Raw genomic sequence first — 19,067 nt, forward strand, 5'->3', positions numbered from 1 at the left:
TATAAAAAGTAAGAGTCACTTACCATTTCATTCTATGCAGTTTCCTGCCTTGAAATAGGTGTCTTATGGCTTTGGTTGGCAATACTGTTAATGGAATATAGTTGTATTAAAAGCAATTTTTTTTTGACAATTCTTTGTTAGCAGTCAGCAACTAAATATATTAAGAAGCCTTGTTTTGCACACTCTTCCAACCACAGAACACTAAAGATGTATATGTTATAATTACAATTATCCTTTCTCTTCATTGTCCTGCTGAGGAATGCACTGTAATTCTGGCAGCTAGAGTAGAGTTGGCTTGCTTTCCTTGGATTGCAGATGTCTAATTGCAGGCAACCATTTCATTTAAAATGGCTCATTAAAGTAAAAACCATTTAGCATCAGTAACATGGATCAGCATCCATGATTATGCATTTAATTAGAGAGAAGTATGTTTTCTCCTCTTTTCTAATTTTTCTATCTATAGATCTACCTATGTATCAATCTATGCATCTACCCACACACATACACATAGATGCACACATGCAGATTTATACAAAGCTTGCCTTAGACATTAATTTTATCATTTTGCCATCATTGCAACTCCTTGGCTAATTGTTCCATGGAGTATGTATAGAACGTACTAATTATGAAATTATAGAATATATTGTTACTCAATATTAGTAAATTGCATATTGCACATATAGGAATTTTCTGTTTTGTAGGCTTTTCTAGATATGTTATATTTTACCTTAGTAAATGTCCTTATTTACTAACTGAAATATTACTTGTTTATTATCATTCCAAAGAAGCGTCATATCCTGAACGCTTTAGTTTACTGATCACTGAAATAAGACCGTGGTGTGGGAAGAGAGAGAGAGAGAGAGAATTCCAATTTTTCTCATTCTCATGCATAAAAGATCAATCATAGAAGCATAGTTTTGATGTGATGATATGTCCTGTTATTTGTATTGTGAAAATAGATTTGTCTAACAATATTTGTTCGGAAATAGAACATTTGGACTTTTTAAGCATTACTTTTAACAATATTTTTAAAAATAGTCAAAAACCACAGGCATTATCTATATCATAATTCTACTAAACAGCAGTGATGAGTGGCAATTAGTTGTTTATTGAGTCACTGTTTACATAATTATTTGTAAGTTATTTGTAAATGGCCTTAGGTTTTTTAGATCTATAAATTTCAGTGAATAAAATATAATTTAAAGGCTTTCATAATATTAAATAAGAATGAACCAGGCTGTCTTTTATTAGCTTATTTTTCATTTCATTAGAGAAAAACACAGTTTACTTTGGCAGAATCTAGATATGTTGATGTACTTTATCATGTCCAAATTCGAGGCAGTAAATAATTTTCTGTAGAGAGCCCCTAGTCCTTAAAGAGTAGACTAAATCAACAAAGGATCCAGAAGTAAAAGTCAGAAGCTAAAGTATATTTGTGCATTTCTGTGTCAGTAAGAAAGAAGTTAAGACTGAGATATAAATTAAGAATACATTATATAAAACCTGCTCCAGTCCTGTCCTGTAAGACAGCCAGGGGATAGCCTCAAGAGTTCAAGGTTAATGGGTCTCTATGGGAAGTATTTACTTTCTCACTGGATTTTTAAATTACATTCCCTTTTTTCCCCACCAGTACTACTGAAGTAAAAAGAGAAACAAATGAACAAAAACAGTGCTGGCAGGTATGCTATTTATTGCCCAATGGAAAAGTTATAAAATCATTGTTATTACTGCTGTATAATAATTGATACATACTGCTTGATATGTGCCATTGTTTTATGCTGGTCACCTTTCACCCTTTTTTGTTTTTTTTTGTCACATTCTTGATATAGATCATAAGCAAGAAAAGAGACAAGTGAAAGTGGAAGGGGAGGAAATAGAGAAAAGATAAAGAGATAATAGAGAAAAGAAAGAGAGAGGAACTTCAAGAAGAGAGAAACATACTTCACAGCTGGGCAAGATTCAGATTTTTTTTTAAAAATGAGAGGATCAACCATGATTTGAGAGAATAAGGATACAAAGTTAGTGTTTAAAAAGAGTGAAGAGAGAGGGGAAAGAGTTGTTTTGAGTTTGAAGTGTTAGTAAACTATGCTTCTCACACACTGCGATTTACTTGAATGTTAGTCGTCAAAGTGATATCAAATCTTATCACTGCATTGAAATGCAAAATAGATGATTGATTACTATTCATAGTTCTTCAACTTTCTTTCTAAGCAAATTTTCAAGTACTTCTATGCAGTTGCAGTCCAAGTAGCTAAGTCTTAGAAATTATCTGAGCAGTGAAGAAAGTATTACTCATCTTTAGGAAGGAATACATTTAAACTGAAAGTGAAATTGTGTCTCTTTGATCAATGGACAATTCCACCCTAACCCAGTTGCTAAAGAAACTGTTTTGATGCCTTTATTTTTCATGCCTGCCCTCAGTTACTCTATTGTTTTTATGCTGAGTGCTACAAAGGGAACGACCATCAAAATCTCTTTGTACTAAGAACTTTAGGAAGGAGTGAAAATAATGTATAAACAAAGCTTCTGCCCTAGTTCATTATAATTGGGAAAATAAGGTAAATGCGATTATACAATTTCAAAGACTATATAATGAAATAGAGTGTAAGTTTTAGAATAAAAACCTGGAGAATCAAATGACAAAAACATTTGCACATAGGGTTTCTTTTAGGGAGTTTGGAGGCAAATAACCTATACCATACCTATTATATAAGGCACAGAATAGATAATAGTGTTTAAATAAAAAGCTATAAATTGTTACTCTTATACAGATATAAAAATGAACACATTTTAAATGTTTTATTTAACTCACATGGGAACCAGGAAAATGTTGTAATCTATTCAAAAAAGAATCTAAGGAACAGACACATGTATAGACTAGGAATATGCAAATGGCATCAAAATATTTTCCACAAAAAAGAGTATGAAAGTCACTTAAAACCTCTAACAGACAAGACAGAATTCATAGGTATGTCAGTTACCTACAATTTACAGAATCTTAAACTGTATCCCATAGAACCATAATCTTGGCCTGCCAAGACCAAGAGTGCTATAAATAATACATAGTTTTCCTAGGAATTACAAATCTTTTCTCAAAAATAGTAAGGGCAAAAACCTAGAGAACCATAATAACACTCATTTCATCATTTTCAAATGAGTAGTGAACAGCGTATCTTGAACATTACAAAAGATAGAAATCCTAAACACAAAAATTATTATATAATACATTTGTCAGTTCTTTGTGTTTATATGCACACACACACACACCTTTTTTTTCCTAGTGTGATAATTGCTTTATATTTTGGTTATTCCTTTTACATCAAACTTAATATTTCACATAATCTAATCAATTGATCTAGTCCTTTGGGATGATGTCTTGTCTTTGTTCTACAGATGAGACAATCAACTTCCTATTTGGATTTTAAAGAAATACGTAAGGGTTTGATTAATGATAGAGTTCCTGGGTAGAGGAAATGATATTTTTAAAAAATTAATTAGATTATATTTTTAGGAAACATTACTTTATTGAGATTTTTACATTAAGTGATAACAATCATATTTTTTTTAGTTTTCAAAAGAGAAAAGACTTGGTTGTTTTCTACTACTATTTTAAGGGTTAGTTTTTTCATCAAAGCAATATATATCTTTATTTCATGGTTCATTTTTATAAAACTCGATTACAAATAATGCGCTGTGGAATTTTTCCCAAGGCAAAAGATCAAATATAGAGAACTGGCCAAATATTTATACTTTGCCTCTGTGTTTTCATTAATGGAATTTTTATTAGAACTTAATATTTGTTTATTTTTGCATTTTGGAAAGAAGCGTGTCTAAATCCAAACCTTTCTCTTACATTACCCTTTTAAAAAGCCAAGTAAATCTGAGCATTCACTTTCCTGCTCAAAACCTTGCAATCATCTCCTTTACTGAAGTCCACCAGCCTCTGCTTGATCTGCCCTATGCAGACTCATCCTCCCTATCTCCTCACCCCACTCCTTGCTTTCTTCTTGGCTTGCAAACAGCTGCCTCTTGCTGGGTTCTCCCATACTGGAGAGAAAGAGAGAGCAAGGTCTCTAGAATTGCCTCTTATGAGGATAATAATCCTATCATGAGAGTCCCACTCTCAGGATCATATATAATAAATCAAATGACTTTCCAAAGTCCCTAACTCTACATACTACCACATTGGGAAATTAAGGCTTCAACATATGAATTTTGAGAAGACTCAAGTCAGTCAATAGCATTCTGCCCCTGACACCCCAAAATTCATGTCCTCACATACAAAATACGTTCATTTCACCCAAATACCCAAAGTATTAACTTGTTCCAGCAGCAACTCTAAAGTTCAGAGTCTCATCTAAATACTATCTAAATCAGATATGGGTGAGACTCAAAGTATTACTCTTTCCTGAGAAAAATTTCCTTTTTATATGAACCTGTGAAGTCAGACAAATTATATGCTTTCAGAATACAATGGTGGAACAGGTATAGGATAAACATCCCCATTCCAAATAGAAAAATAGAAAAGAATAAAGGGGTGGGAGTCCCAAACAAGCCCAAATCCTAACAAGGCAAATTTAGGCCTCCTTCATTCTGTCTTTTTTACTATGTTCCTTTTAGTTCAAAACTGGCAGTGTTGCTGGCATAATCCTGTCTTTATTCCTGGACTCTGCTGGAATGGCTGATTAACTTCATCACAGTCATTCATGATTTCTTTATTAAAGTTTTAGCCACATCTTTAATGTTCTCTTCAGAACAAGCTTTCTCTCTCTCTCTGGTAATATGAATAGGCTGAGAATTTTCCAAATCTTCAAGGTCTGGTTCTTTTTTGCTTGACAAATTCCTGATTTAATTCCTCTTTCTTTTTTTTTTTTTTTTTTTTTTTTGTATTTTATTATAAGCAGTCAGGAGGAATCAAATTAGCTGCTTCTTCAATACTTTGCTTAGAAATCTCCTCAGCTAATTATCTAGTTTCATTGTTCGTAGTCCTTCCTTCCACAAGACACTAAAACATAGTTCAGCCAAATCCCTTGCTAATTTGTAACAAGAATCACATTTCCTCCAGTTTCTGATATGTCCTCATTTCCATCTGACACATCACCAGAATTGCCCTTAACACTCATATTTTTATGTTTCTTTAAAATTTGTTTTAACTTCCTATTATCACCACTTAATTAATGCCCATATTTTTAGTATGCACTTCAAATTCCTACAGCCTCCACCCACTACTGAGTTCCAAAGCTGCTTCCACATATGCAGGTATTTGTTACAGCAGCACCACACTCTTGTTACCAAAATCTGTATTAGTCAAAGTTCCCCAAAGAAACAGTACCAACAGATAATATAGTACAAGAAACTGACTCAAGCAATTATGGAGACTAAGAAGTTCCAAGATCTGAAGTTGGTATGCTGGAGACCCAGAAGAGTTAATGTTATAGTTCCAGTCTAAAAGCCAGCAGACTCAAAACCTAAAAAGAGACAATATTGTAGCTTGAGTCAGAAAGCAGGAAAACATTAATGTCTAACCTCAGGGCAGTCAGGCAGGAGAAGTTCTCTGTTCAGCACATGAGGGTCAGCCCTTTTTCTCTATCCAGGCCTTCAAATGATTGGATAAGGCCCACCTATAATACATTAGGGAGGACAATTACTCAGTCCACTAATTCAAGTGTTAATCTCATATAAAGACATACCCACAGACACACCAAGAATCATGTTTGTCAAAGTATTTGGGTACCCATGACCCTGTCAAGTTGACACATATAATTAACCATCACAGGGAGCCTAGAGGTAAAGACCTTGGGTGGGGGGAATTATAGAAAGAGGCTGGAGCAGATCCTACAGGGCCCTGAAGGACACATTAAAGAATTGGGAACTTGTCCTAAGGAAAATGACAACCCATTGGTGATTTTTAAGGAGGTAAATAAGGTAATCTGATTACTATTATTATTTTTTAAAAGGACATGAGGAAGTTTGGGTTGTTGAGAGGAAAGGCAGAGAGAAAGGTGGTACTGTAGTTAGAAATTGTGGTTTGATCTCAACTTGTCTTCATGGAGAAGAAAGTGGAGTTCCAGCTTGATCCAGCTTGTCTTCATTGAGAATGGGAGAGTTTTGAAATATAGTGAGAGATTGATTTGATATGAGGAGAGAATAAAAGGGAGGGATCAATAATGGTGGCCAGTGGCTAGATTTAGCAAATATATTTGTAGTGTGTGATTTACCACAAATGAAGAAAGAAGGAAGTTTTATAGGAAGAGGATGACTTTAGTTTTAGGTTTATGAAGTTTAAGTGGTGCAGGTCTGAGGTCCAGAGGTGTAGTCTGGGATAGACTTACATGTTGTAACAGGCCAAGATTTCCTAGGTAGAGAATGTAAAAAATGTAGCGATAAAGGATCTGATGAAAAGGCACCCAGTATTTGATGGATAGAGGAAGGGAAGCCCTGGAGGTACCATCAACTTTTTTTTGGCTCCTATTGTATTCAATATGTTGACATTTATACAATATCTCAGAAATAACAGGGTTTAGAAAACATACTGTATTAGTCCGCTTTCAGGCTGCTGATAAAGGCATATCCAAAAGTGGGCAATTTACAAAAGAAAGAAGTGTAATGGACTTACAGCTCTGCATGGCTGGAGAGGCCTCACAATCATGGCAGAAGGCAAGGAGGAGCAAGTCACATCTTAGGTGGATGGCAGCAGGCAGAGAGAGAGAGCTTGTGTAGGGAAACTTCCATTTTTAAAAACATCAGACCTCGTGAGACTTATTCACTATCATGAAAACAATATGTGAAAGACCCATCCCTATTATTCAGTTATCTCCCACCAGATTCCTCCTATAACACATGGGAATTATGAGAGCTATAAGATGAGATTTGAGTGAGGACACAGAGCCAAACCATATCATTCCTCCCCAGGCCCCTCCTAAATCTCATGCCCTCACATTTCAAAACCAATCATGCCTTCCCAACAGTCCCTCAAAGTCTTAACTCATTTCAGCACTAACTCAAAAGTTCACAATCGAAAGTCTCATCTGAGATAAGGCAAGTTCTTTAGGCCTATGAGCCTGTAACATCAAAAGCAAGTTTGTTACTTCATAGATAAAATGGTGGTACAGGCATTGGGTAAATACAGTCATTCCAAAAGGGAGAAATCGGCCCAAAACAAAGGGGCTACAGGCCCCATGCAAGTCCAAAATCTGGTGGGGCAGTCAAAGCTCCAAAATGATCTTTTTTTACTCCATGTCTCACATCCAGGTCATGTTGATGTAAGATGTGGGTTCCCATGGTCTTAGGTAGCTCTGCCCCTGTGGCTTTGCAGAGTACAGCCTCCCTCATGACTGCTTTCATGGGCTGGTGTTGAATGTCTGCAGCTTTTCTAAGTGCACAGTACAAACTGTCAGTGGATCTATCATTCTGGGGTCTGGAGGATGGTGGCCCTTTTCTCACAGCTCCACTAGGCAGTGCCCCAGTAGGGGCTCTGTGTGGATGTTCCGACCCAACATCTCCCTTTCACACTGCCCTAGCAGAGTTTCTCCACGAGGGCCCCATCCCTGCAGCAAACTTCTGCTTGGGCATCCAGGTGTTTCCATACATCTTCTGAAATCTAGGCAGAGGTTCCCAAACCGCATTTCCTGACTTCTGTGCACTCACAGGCTTAACACCACATGGAAGCTGCCAAGGCTTGGGGCTTGCACCCTCTGAAGCCACAGCCTGAGCTCTACATTGGCCCCTTTCAGCCGTGGCTAGAGCAGCTGGGATGCAGGGCACAATGTCCCTAGACTACACACAGCATGGGGACCCTGGGCCCGGCCCACAAAACCAGTTTTTCTTCCTAGGCCTCTGGGCCTGTGATGGGAGGGACTGCTGCAAAGACCTCTGACATGCCCTGGAAACATTTTCCCCATTGTCTTGGGGATTAATATTCAGCTCCTTGTTACTTATTCAAATTTCTGTAGTCAGCTTGAATTTATGCTCAGAATATGGAATTTTCTTTTCTATTGCATTGTCAGACTGGCTGCAAATTTTTCAGACTTTTATGCTCTGCTTCCCTTATTAACAGCACCCCAGTCACCTCTTGAATGCTTTGCTGCTTAGAAATGTCTTCCACCAGATACCCTAAATCATCTCTCTCAAGTTCAAAGTTCCACATATCTTTAGGTCAGGGGCAAAATGCCACCAGTCTCTTTGCTAAAAGAATCACCTTTTCTCCAGTTCCCAACAAGTTCCTTATCTCCACCCGAGACCACCTCAGCCTTGATTTCATTGTCCATATCATTATCAGGATTTTGGTTAAAGCCATTCAACAAGTCTCTAGGGAGTTCCAAACTTTCCCACATTTTCCTGTCTTCTTCTGAGCCCTCCAATCTGTTCCACCCTCTGTCTGTTACCAAGTTCCAAAGTTGCTTCCACATTTTCAGTATTTTTTCAGCAGCACCCCACTCTACTAGTTCCAATTTACAGTATTAGTTTGTTTTCATGTTGCTGATAAAGACATACCTAAGGCTGGTCAATTTACAAAAGAAAGAAGTGTAATGGACTTATAGTTCCACATGGCTGGGGAGCCTCACAATCATGGCAGAAGGCAAGGAGGAGCAAATCATATCTTATGTGGATGGTGGCAGGCAAAAAGAGAGAGCTTGTGTAGGGAAACTTAATTTTTGAAGTCATCAGATCTTATGAGACCTATTCACTATCACAAGAACAGCAGGAGAGAGACTCGCCCCAATGATTTGATGATCTCTCACCAGGTCCCTCCACAACATGTGGCAATTATGGGAGCTACAAGATGAGATTTGGGTGGGGACACAGATCCAAACAATATCACATGGTATCATGGTGAAAAATGTAATGAAACCATGACTACATTTGATCTTTAGGTTTGCACTATGTTTTAATGAGCGTTTCAACTTTTATTGCTTTTATGTTGATTTTTACATCTGTCTACAAAGTGATTTTTTATAGGCTTTTGGTTTTTTTGGCTGTAGATGTGAAAGAGAATGGTGCATTGTGAAAGAAAAGGTTGAACAAAAATCAATTCATGTCAGAATTGATTAAAATCAGGAAACATTTTCAATGTCAACAGGATATTTAGGATGAGAATAATTAAATGAGCTCTGGAGGCAAATGAATTATTGACTACTTACAAATATCAGGCCTAAGAAGATAGAGATTGAGACATATGTCTTCTTTTTTTTCTTAGTGAAGAGAAACAGACAAAACTCTTCTAATATGTAACTTGGTATTAAACCATTGTGAGGAATAATTAGGAAATTATCCTAACATAGGAAAAAATATACAATTGACACATTAAATGTCAATTGTAATTGACAATTGTCAAATGTCAATTGTAATTGACAATTGTCAAATGTCAATTGTAATTGACAATTGTCAAATGTCAATTGTAATTGACAATTGTCAAATGTCAATTGTAATTGTAATTGTCAATTGTAATTGTAATTGTCAACTACATGTATATATGTATATATACTCCTGAAAATAATCTCTCTCTTTAATTCTTTTCAGAAGCAGCTTAAAGTTACATGGAGAAAATTCTTAAGTAGTTGATATTACAATGTCAACTTTTGCCTATTTTCAGACTTTGTACTTAGATACTATATGCAAATTGCAGTTTTGTATTTTTCCCCTGAGGATTGTTCTAGTGTTCCCACCTGCCCTATCTTCACAGCTTTTTTTATCCCATTCCTACTTTATCCTTTGAGACACTGGTCTCATTCATTCACTCATCCATTCATTCATTTATATGGTAAATATTAAGCAAGAGTCCCTATTTTCACAAATCTGACATTGTTGACCAGGGTTTCTCAACCTTGGCACTACTGACAATTTGGCTAGATAACTCTTTGCTGTGGGGGACTGTCCTATGTAATGTTGGATGTTTAGTGACATCCCTGTTCTCTACCTAATATACGCTGATAGGGCCCAAATAAATGTCTCTTGGGTGGCAAAATCACCCTGTGTAAAGAACCACAGTTTGAGAGAGAAGAAAGACAATAAAGAAAAATAACATAACACAATATTAGTGATGATAAGTGCTGTGAAGTAAAATAGAAAACGGGACTGTGGTAAGAGTGGCAGCAGGAGCAAGGGTTCTAAAGCTTTCTCAAGGACAGCAGTCTGCATAGCGCACAGATGTAGAAGCCTTGTTTCTCTTTTAACAGATGTCTATCATTCACTCTAAACCTGTCTATGGAATTGCTAATTAAGGCAAGAGCCTGATGTATTACTTACATGATTAAATTATTTCTGGTTCTTGACTATTTACAAAATGTCACAGTCACAGTAAGATTTTTTTGAATATGTCAAGTTTCTCAACTGAATAGAACATTAATAACTTCAAATGGACTATCGCATGCTATTGATTTTACTCTCTTGTTTCTGCCACTGGAGAACACGAACATCAATAAATCACATAGGCCCTCAGTGGGTGATTGGAGGGTATATTTATTTAAAACTCTTCCATTAATTTTTGTTTATTACATTATTCAATCTATCTTATAGCTGGTCTGCCATTTTTGTGGGTTTCAGAATTGTGAGGACTCTTAATGGGAAATGCTGTGACACTGTGATAAATGAAAGAGCAGTGGACGGTGAGTAGCACACTTGGGTTCTCGTTCAGGCTCTGTTATTGACTGGCTCAAGGACCCTGGGCAAAGTACTTCACCTCTGGGCAGCTTCTCTTAAATAAGGACTAGTCTACCTTCTTAATTTATTTCATTGTTTTTAATGAAGAAATGATATAGCAAATGTAAGATAATCTTTTAAAATGTTATATTTTTTCTTTAAAAAATTAGGTAATTATAAGGAAGATTTATATTTCTCAGATATTCTTGAAGTTGAGGAGCCACAATTGTGACTGTTTCCATCACTTGATGTTTCTTCTCCTCTAACCTACTTAAAAATTGCAGGCCCCTGTGCTATCCTGGTAAATCTCCCTCCAGTTTGCCAGTATGTGTCATGTTTCACTGCAAACCTCACACAATTTTCTGTAAGACATGGCCTAACCCGAAAAGTATAAGGAGGCTGTTAAATCTGTGGTTTTGGAGCAGGGATTTTTTTTTTCATGATCATCCCCCACCCTCAAAGAGCCTTTATAGACATTGTTTTCGTAGTTGCTCACCTATGAAATGCTAACATCACAGATTTATCCCCTGCCCTCCGCAGAATCAACTTTGCTCTCTGGGAATGATATGGTGGAGAAAGGGAAAGCGATTGCCTGAGTTGAGAATTCATGTTTGACTCAAAGTTAAGTTGGAGTCTAAATTCCCAGCAGCTTTTTGGCAGATCCAACCCAGTCCAAATCTGCTGTGGCTGTATAGTGTGGGACACTGGCTCAGCTGGCCGGATCTGGTGTTAAATCCCTGCTCTCTGCACTGGCTTATCCTTCCCAAATACTCCATGTTTCTGAGTGGTTCTTTGGCTATAAAATAGCATTGTATTTCCTGTTCCTGAGGTTGTTGTGAGGACTAATTGAAGTAACATATAGGAAGGTTGTTAACAGTGCATGGCAGATGAAAAACAGAAATGTTCATTATTATTTATACCCAATAACAGCAATTTTTAAAAGGAAAAGGGGGAGAGGAGAACTAATGCTTTTAAGTCCACAACTGCATTCTACATTTGTGTAGTGGTTATTTTCACTTTATTTTTAAGCTATGTTCAGAACGTAACTTTTGCTCTTGTTTTTCTTTGTTAGGTTTGACCCCATGTTTAAACATACGTATTAGTCTGTTTTGTGTTTTTATAAAGGAATACCTTAGGCTAGGTAATTTATAAAGAAAAGAGGCTTCTTTGGTTCACAGTTCTGCAGGCTGTACAAGAAGCTTGGCTCCAGCCAGCCTCTGCTTCTTGTGAGGACCTCTGGAAACTTTCAATCATGGCAGAAAAGGAAGGGGAGCCGGCTGGCAAGAAAGGAAGCAAGAGGGGGTGGTGCCAGGTTCTTTTTAACCTCTAGCTCTCCTGTTAACTAATAGAGCAAGAACTTACTCATTAGCATGGGTAAAGCACGAAGCCATTCATGAGGGTTCTGCCCACTGACCCAAACACCTCCCACTAGATCCCACTCCAACATTAGGGATCACATTTCACCATGAGATTTTTGAGGGGACAATTATCCAATCTATATCAGCCTGACATCTGCAAATTTAATTGGCTTTTATGCTTCTCACTCAAGGTAAAAAACAGAAACAATAAACAAATAAAATACAACCACTACTTTGAGGAGGACAAGGTCAGGGAAAGCCACAAGCATGCAAGTATGCAACTAGGAAATTTCCCTGAGGACACTGGTTGTCAACCTTGACTGTATAATTTGGACTGAGGTATGGCCTAAGTGTTGGAATTTTAAATAATTCACCAAATGATTCTAATGGGAAATAGGGTCAAGAACTACCAAATATTCAATAATAAGGAATCCACTCAAATAGACCAACTATTACTAGAGTTTTCTTAAGTTCTCTGTTGAAATCCAGATACACTTGTCTGCAGAATTCATCTGTTAGGAAGAAACTTTTCCTCTATGATCTTAGGTTCAAATGGTTGGGGTCCTGAGAGTTAACTGACGATAGATAGATTAGCAGAATAAAAGACAGTGTTTATGTATATGTACATTGCAAACCCTCAGGAGTACTCAGTGATGAGTAACTCACTGAATCCTCAAAATTAACATTTTATATACCATTTTAACAAAATGTATTTTTTTAAAAGGGCATCAGTGGAAACGTATGGAAAGTTTATTGGGCTTTTTGATGCTAATGAGAATAGGAAGCCTGTCTCCATGGCAGCTGAATTCACAGGAAATTCCTTGCAGGGGAGTTAATGGGAGCTATATTTTCAGGACATTCTGCTTTAATCAGATAAGGGATGTTCAGATAAGATTTCTTTTTCATTTTCTGTAGCTCAAATGTTTTCACTTGAAAATAATCTTTATGCTAAACCGTGATCTCTTTACATGTGATAACTCTTAAAATGAGAAAATGACACACAACTACACCAAAAAAGCAAATAATTTAAGCATGGCATTACTGAGTGCTCATTATGTCCCAGTTTTATTTACCAGGGCCAAGTAATGTGTCCAAAGTTAACAGCTAATAAATAGCAAAGCTGGGAGTATGCCCAGGTTTACCTGACTCCAAGGTCAACACTCTGTTATACCACACTGTTCTTAATATGCCCTAGTGGTAACAGCCTCTCTTTAGACTTCTACTGAGGTTAATAAGCTATCATACAATTCTGCTTAAGAAGATTATCAGAATATACTTTTTTCTATTTTTGGAAAAAGCAAATGTATATCTTTTTAATAGTTTTTAGCTTCCTAGCAGTGACAGTGAACCAGGCCTGGTGTGCCTGTTACGCAGTATGCCAATCACTAAGGTGACAAGTTTGCAGCAGAGAAAGAGTTTATTCATGAGGCAGCCAGGTGAGGAGGTGAGAGGACAGGTCTCAAATCTGCCTCCTGAAGATGTGGTTTAGGGATATTTGTGGGATAAAGAATCAGGGTGGACTAAGGTGTGGGGTAAGATGATTGAGGTGTCAACAAAAAGAGTCAGACTCTGTAAAATATTTGCAGAGATTTACTCTGAGCCAAATATGAGTGACTGTGGCCCATGACACAGCCCTTAAGAGGTCCTGAGAACACGTCCTCAAGGTGGTCGGGGTGCAGCTTGGTTTTATACATTTTAAGGAGGCATGAGACATTAATCAAATACATTTAAGAAATGCATTGGTTTGGTCCAGAAAGGCGGGACAATTTGAGGCAAGGGCTTCCAGGCTATAGATAAATTGAAACATTTTTTAGTTGACAATTGGCTGAGTTTGTCTAAAGACCTGGGATCAATAGAAATGAATATCTGGGTTAAGATAAGTGGTTGTAGAGACCAAAGTTTTACCATGCAGATGAAGCTTTTAGCTAGCAGGTTTCAAAGAGAATAGGCTGTAAAATGTTTTTTATCATACTTAAAGTCTGTGTTGATGTTAATGCCGGAGAGGTATAATGAGGCATGCTAGACCCCCCACTTCCCATCATGGCCTAAAACCGTCTCTCAGGTTAAATTTTAAGAGCCCTGGCTGAGGACGAAGTCCATTCACATGGTTGACAGGGGGAGATTAGAATTTTATTTTTGGTTTAGAGAGATTAAGGAAAAGTGAGGTAACTGGCGATCTATACGAGCATAGTCAAGCTTCGTGGCTCTTTACGGGAATCATGTTTACAAAATGGTATTTGTTAGCATGATTTTAGGGTGGAGTTTTTAGTCCCTGGACAACAAAAGGTCACCTATTGGACATTTACACCAGCCCAACTGGAGGGTTAGTGGTTTCAACCAGCTTGCATTGGACAAGAGCTGACCAAGTTCCTGAAAAACAACTTAAACAATCGTTACCATGGTGACCTACACCTCAGCGATGTTATAAGAAAGTTAGGAAAAGTTTAGTTTATATCGCTTAGCTATGTGACTTTTAGCTATATAAGTTTTAAAATCAACTAGAAGCAAGCAGCTAAAAGCAAGCCAGATGGGTTAAGTTTGGTGGGCCTAATCAGGTCAGCCCTTGTTTTAAGCAGGGTTTAATCCATCTTATATGAAAAATTTCTTAACACGTTGGGATGCAATTCACTTCTATATGGAAACTTATTTAGACCAGCTAATAGCTGTCTTCCTAATGCTTCTTTATCTTGGCCTTTAGAGGCTTCCTTCCATAGTTTTTTCCATAGTCTTTTATCTACACCTTGTTCTCCTTACCACAGAGAAAGTAATCAAAATGGAGTTGTGTGGTCTTGTATTCTCCTTCTGGTCTTTAAAAATAACATCAACCCTCAATTTCATTCATGATAACAAGTGCCCTATGTAGTATGTCCTATCACTTCCATATTTTTTCTTACTTTAAAAATAATTAAAAATTTCAGATACTTAAAGCAAGTGTTAGGTAGCCATTATATTTGCTTAATATGAGTATTATTAATTTTTAAAAAACGTTAATAGGTTTTTTGGGAACAGGTGGTATTTAGTTAAATGAACAAGTTCTTTAGTGGTGATTTCTGAGATTTTGGTGCATCCATTACCTGAGAAGTGTACACTGTAGCAATATGTAGTCTTTTTTTATTTTGAGATGGAGTCTCACTCTGTTGCCCAGGCTGGAGTGCAGTGGCATGATCTCGGCTCACTGAAAGCTCCACCTCCCAGGTTCACACCATTCTCCTGCTTCAGCCTCCTGAGTAGCTGGGACTATAGGCGCCCGCCACCACGCCCGGCTAATTTTTTGTGTTTTTAGTAGAGACGGGGTTTCAACATGTTGGCCAGGATGTTCTCGATCTCCTGACCTCATGATCCGCCCGCCTCGGCCTCCCAAAGTTCTGGGATTACAGACATGAGCCGTCGTGCCCAGCCAGCAATATGTAGTCTTTTATCCCTTGCCAACCGCTATCCTTTCCTCTGAGTCTCCAAAGTCCAATGTGTCATTCTTATGCCTTTGGCTCTTCATAGCTTAGCTCTCACATATTAGTGAGAATATACGATGTTTGGTTTTCCATTTCTGAGTTACTTCACTTAAAATAATGGTCTCCAATTCCACGATTCCATCCAGGTTGCTATGAATGCCATTATTTCATTCTTTATTATGGCTGAGTAGTATTCCATGGTGTGTGTGTGTGTGTGTGTGTGCGTGCGCGCATATATATATATATATATATATATATATATATATATCACAATTTCTTTTTCTTTTTCTTTTTTTTTTTTTTTAAGATGGAGTTTCACTCTTGTTGCCCAGGCTGGAGTGCAATGGCACGATCTCAGCTCACTGCAACCTCTGCCTCCTGGGTTCAAGCGATTCTTCTGCCTCAGCCTCCCGAGTAGCTGAGATTACAGGCACACACCACTATGCCTGGCTAATTTTTTTGTATTTTTAGTAGAGATGGGGTTTCTCTATGTTGGTCAGGATGGTCTCGAACTCCTGACCTCAGGTAATCCGCCCACCTTGGCCTCCCAAAGTGCTGGGATTACAGGCAAGAGCCACTGCACCTGGCCCACAGTTTCTTAATCCATTTGTTGATTGATGGGCATATGGGCTGGTTCCATATGTTTGCAACTGCAAATTGTGAGCACTGTTTAATTCTAAGCTTCCTTGTAGGTAAGGCAAAAAGCAAGCAAAGTATTTTAGGCAATTCCCATAACTAAAGGGAAATTATTTATTATATTTGTCCATTTGAAAAGATATTTTTTCATGTTGTAAAAAATTTATTAAATGAATGCTAACATAAGGATTAATAAACAACATGATCTTAACATTCTTCATGGAGTAATTTAGTTTTTTTCAATTTTTGATAAAAAGCTGAAGGTATATCAACTTGTTATTCAGTGAAAGGATAACTATTGGTAGCGAAATATAAACCTGATCTAGATTTGGAGATCAAAATTTTGGATTTATACACTTTAGGGAATATATCAGAATGAATAACCTTCACATCACATTGAGTACTCTATGAAGAATCAGTTACATGGGCTGGACTTTTGATCAGACCCTCATAGAAAACAGCTGAGCATGATGGGCCTGGCATTCTATTGATGATTACCAATACAGTCATGTATTGCTTAAAAAGCACCTGGCCAAGTTATACATATTATAAAGGCTTTTTGGTATTCTCGTTGAGATGGATTGAGAAATATTTTATATATATTTTTTGAGAAACGTTTTATGTATGAATAATAGATGGGCAATATGAAATCACAGTATAAAATTTAGTTTTCTTTCAACTAGTCTCAAAATTTCATGCCCATTACAAAATTAAAACTAAGAAAAAAAATTAGCCATGTTTATTTTTTCTTTTTCTGTTGTCAGTGTTCTTTTAACACCTTAGCTCTTCAGGGTGCTCTCCCTGCAGCTATATTTTTAGATGTTTCCCAGTTTCTCTCCTCATCAGGATCATTTAATATTGTAACACTTCAATTTTTAAATAACTCCATTTTAATATTTTGTGATTGAGCTATTTCACCATATGAGAATCTTAGGTCTTTCTGTTTTCTGAAAGTTTTGAAATATGACTTAAAGCTTGAACTAAATGTATGGTTATATCCCACAATTCTCGTCTCCTAACCACCCTTCCCCAAGATTATTCAGAATGTCAAGATAACAAATTATATTTCGCGGAGTCTCATCATTCCAACTTCACCACGAGTTTTTCCTTATTGACCCAAAGTAACTTTACTGCTTTCTCTGTTGTCTGAGGCATTAAATTGCCAGCCAGCTAGGCAAGTGAAGAAATTAATTTATTTAGTTGAATAATAATTCTAGGAGAATTGAGTACTGTTTTTTCTGTCTCCTTTCTATCATTTGTCTAACTAATCTCTCTAGCATTTGGTGGTATAAATACAGAATAGTCATCTATTTTAATCATCTAACCAGGTAGTGTATATCATCCTCACAAATAGTGCAACTTAGATTCCAGTCTTATTGTTAACATCCTGCTACCTTCAAATATTTTATTTATTTATTGAGACAGAGTCTTACTTTTTGCCCAGGCTGGAGTGCAGTGGCATGATCTCGGCTCACTGCAACCTCTGCCTCCTGGGTTCAATTGATTCTTCTGCCTCAGCCTCCTGAGTAGCTGGGATAACAGGCATGTTCCACCATGCCTGGCTAATTTTTGTATTTTTAGTAGAGGCAGGGTTTCACCATGTTGGCCAGGCTGGTCTTGAACTCCTGACCTCAACTAATCAGCTCACCTCAGCCTCCCAAAGTGCTGGGATTACAGGAGTTAGCCACTGCGCCTGGCCTACCTTCAAATTTTTGTCTCAGTGGATAAGACAGATTTTGTTACCCATTTTCTTCTTCAAATTGACTTGTTTGTTCTATTAAGATATACATTTTCACTTCCACTTTCTAATATTGAATCCCTCAGTTTCCCTTTGTAAATACATATGTGCATATGTGTATGCACACACACACACATATATACTCCCAAACACACCCATATATTCTTTATTGTAATACCCCGCTTGTTGATATATAGTTATGGGAGGACAAAGGTATTTTCTGTAATATGGTTGTGTTCTCCTATGAATGCTTTGGGAAATTCCCTAATGTTTTTCTATCTGTGTCATATCTATTATATTTTTATAACCCTTGTTAACATTTTAATATTATTTTTATTTTCCCATAAATTTTATGTTTAAATCTTCTGAATTAGATCAGCAGTTCACCAGAGAAATAAGTCTTCCGTGTCCCTTTGAAAATACTTTCTAAGTCACAAATCCCCACCAAGTTTGGTATCTTAAATCATGATTCTGCCACCATCTATATAACCAGCTGCTCAGCATTTTTCCTTTCCTAAATCACACATTGAATGGGAGGAAGAATTTTAACACTTGGAACCCTTTAAAGGAACCCTTTAGCTTTCTGCCTAGGATGTCATGAATTCTAAAAATGGTTTGCATGTGTATTATGATGGCATCATTCATACCCACATGAATCAGCAGGCATGGATAGTTGTCAGCAGGTGTGATAAGGCTTGGCAGTTTTTCCATTATGTCCTGGATACATGCTGCAGAAAGGCAATGGCTTTTCTGTTTGGCCATGTCAAGTCTACATAAAATTTACTCATTCTCCTTGGTGAATGACTAGCTTTGTTCAATTAGATAGCCTTCATTCTTTTCTGAAAATAAACTGTTATTTCATCCTAAGTAATTAATATCTGAATTTTTGTATGTTTTGGAATTTCTATGTTTTATATCTGTAATAAAATTAAGATATATGTACATCTTAATTTATTGAGTCAATATTAATATATTTCTGAAATAATTCAAAGATTAATAGCACTATTTTATAACAACATTATAGACAATATTGGTAGATGCATCATTCATTGTTATTTGGATGACTTAAATTATATCAGAATTACTAAATAAGAATTAAATATTGATAAAAATAGAGGGAAAGAGTATCCCATACTGTGCCATCTTTGAGGTCACAGCTCATGAAAGAGAGAAAACTGCAAAACAGACTTTATCTTTGGGTATTATTTCACAACAATCTTATCTTACTTTGTTCTGTGGTTGGCAGGC

At 36.8% G+C, this 19,067-nt stretch overlaps 1 protein-coding gene across 8 annotated transcripts in view, besides 1 other annotated feature; it reads left to right on the forward strand.

Moving 5' to 3' along the window:
• GRIK2 (glutamate ionotropic receptor kainate type subunit 2) overlaps nt 1–19,067 on the forward strand; it is a 676,376-nt gene that overhangs the window by 335,139 nt on the left and 322,170 nt on the right. The window lies entirely within an intron of this gene.
• Nucleotides 12,482–13,017: an enhancer, noted in NCBI's record as "OCT4-NANOG hESC enhancer chr6:102189203-102189738 (GRCh37/hg19 assembly coordinates)". NCBI's record gives its function as "activates a minimal SCP1, AML or CMV promoter by ChIP-STARR-seq in naive H9 embryonic stem cells {active_cell/tissue: H9 hESC(naive)}" and the evidence as "EXISTENCE:reporter gene assay evidence [ECO:0000049][PMID:30033119]".

This window comes from Homo sapiens, chromosome 6, assembly GCF_000001405.40.
Source record: "Homo sapiens chromosome 6, GRCh38.p14 Primary Assembly".
Taxonomy (NCBI): Eukaryota; Metazoa; Chordata; class Mammalia; order Primates; family Hominidae; genus Homo; species Homo sapiens.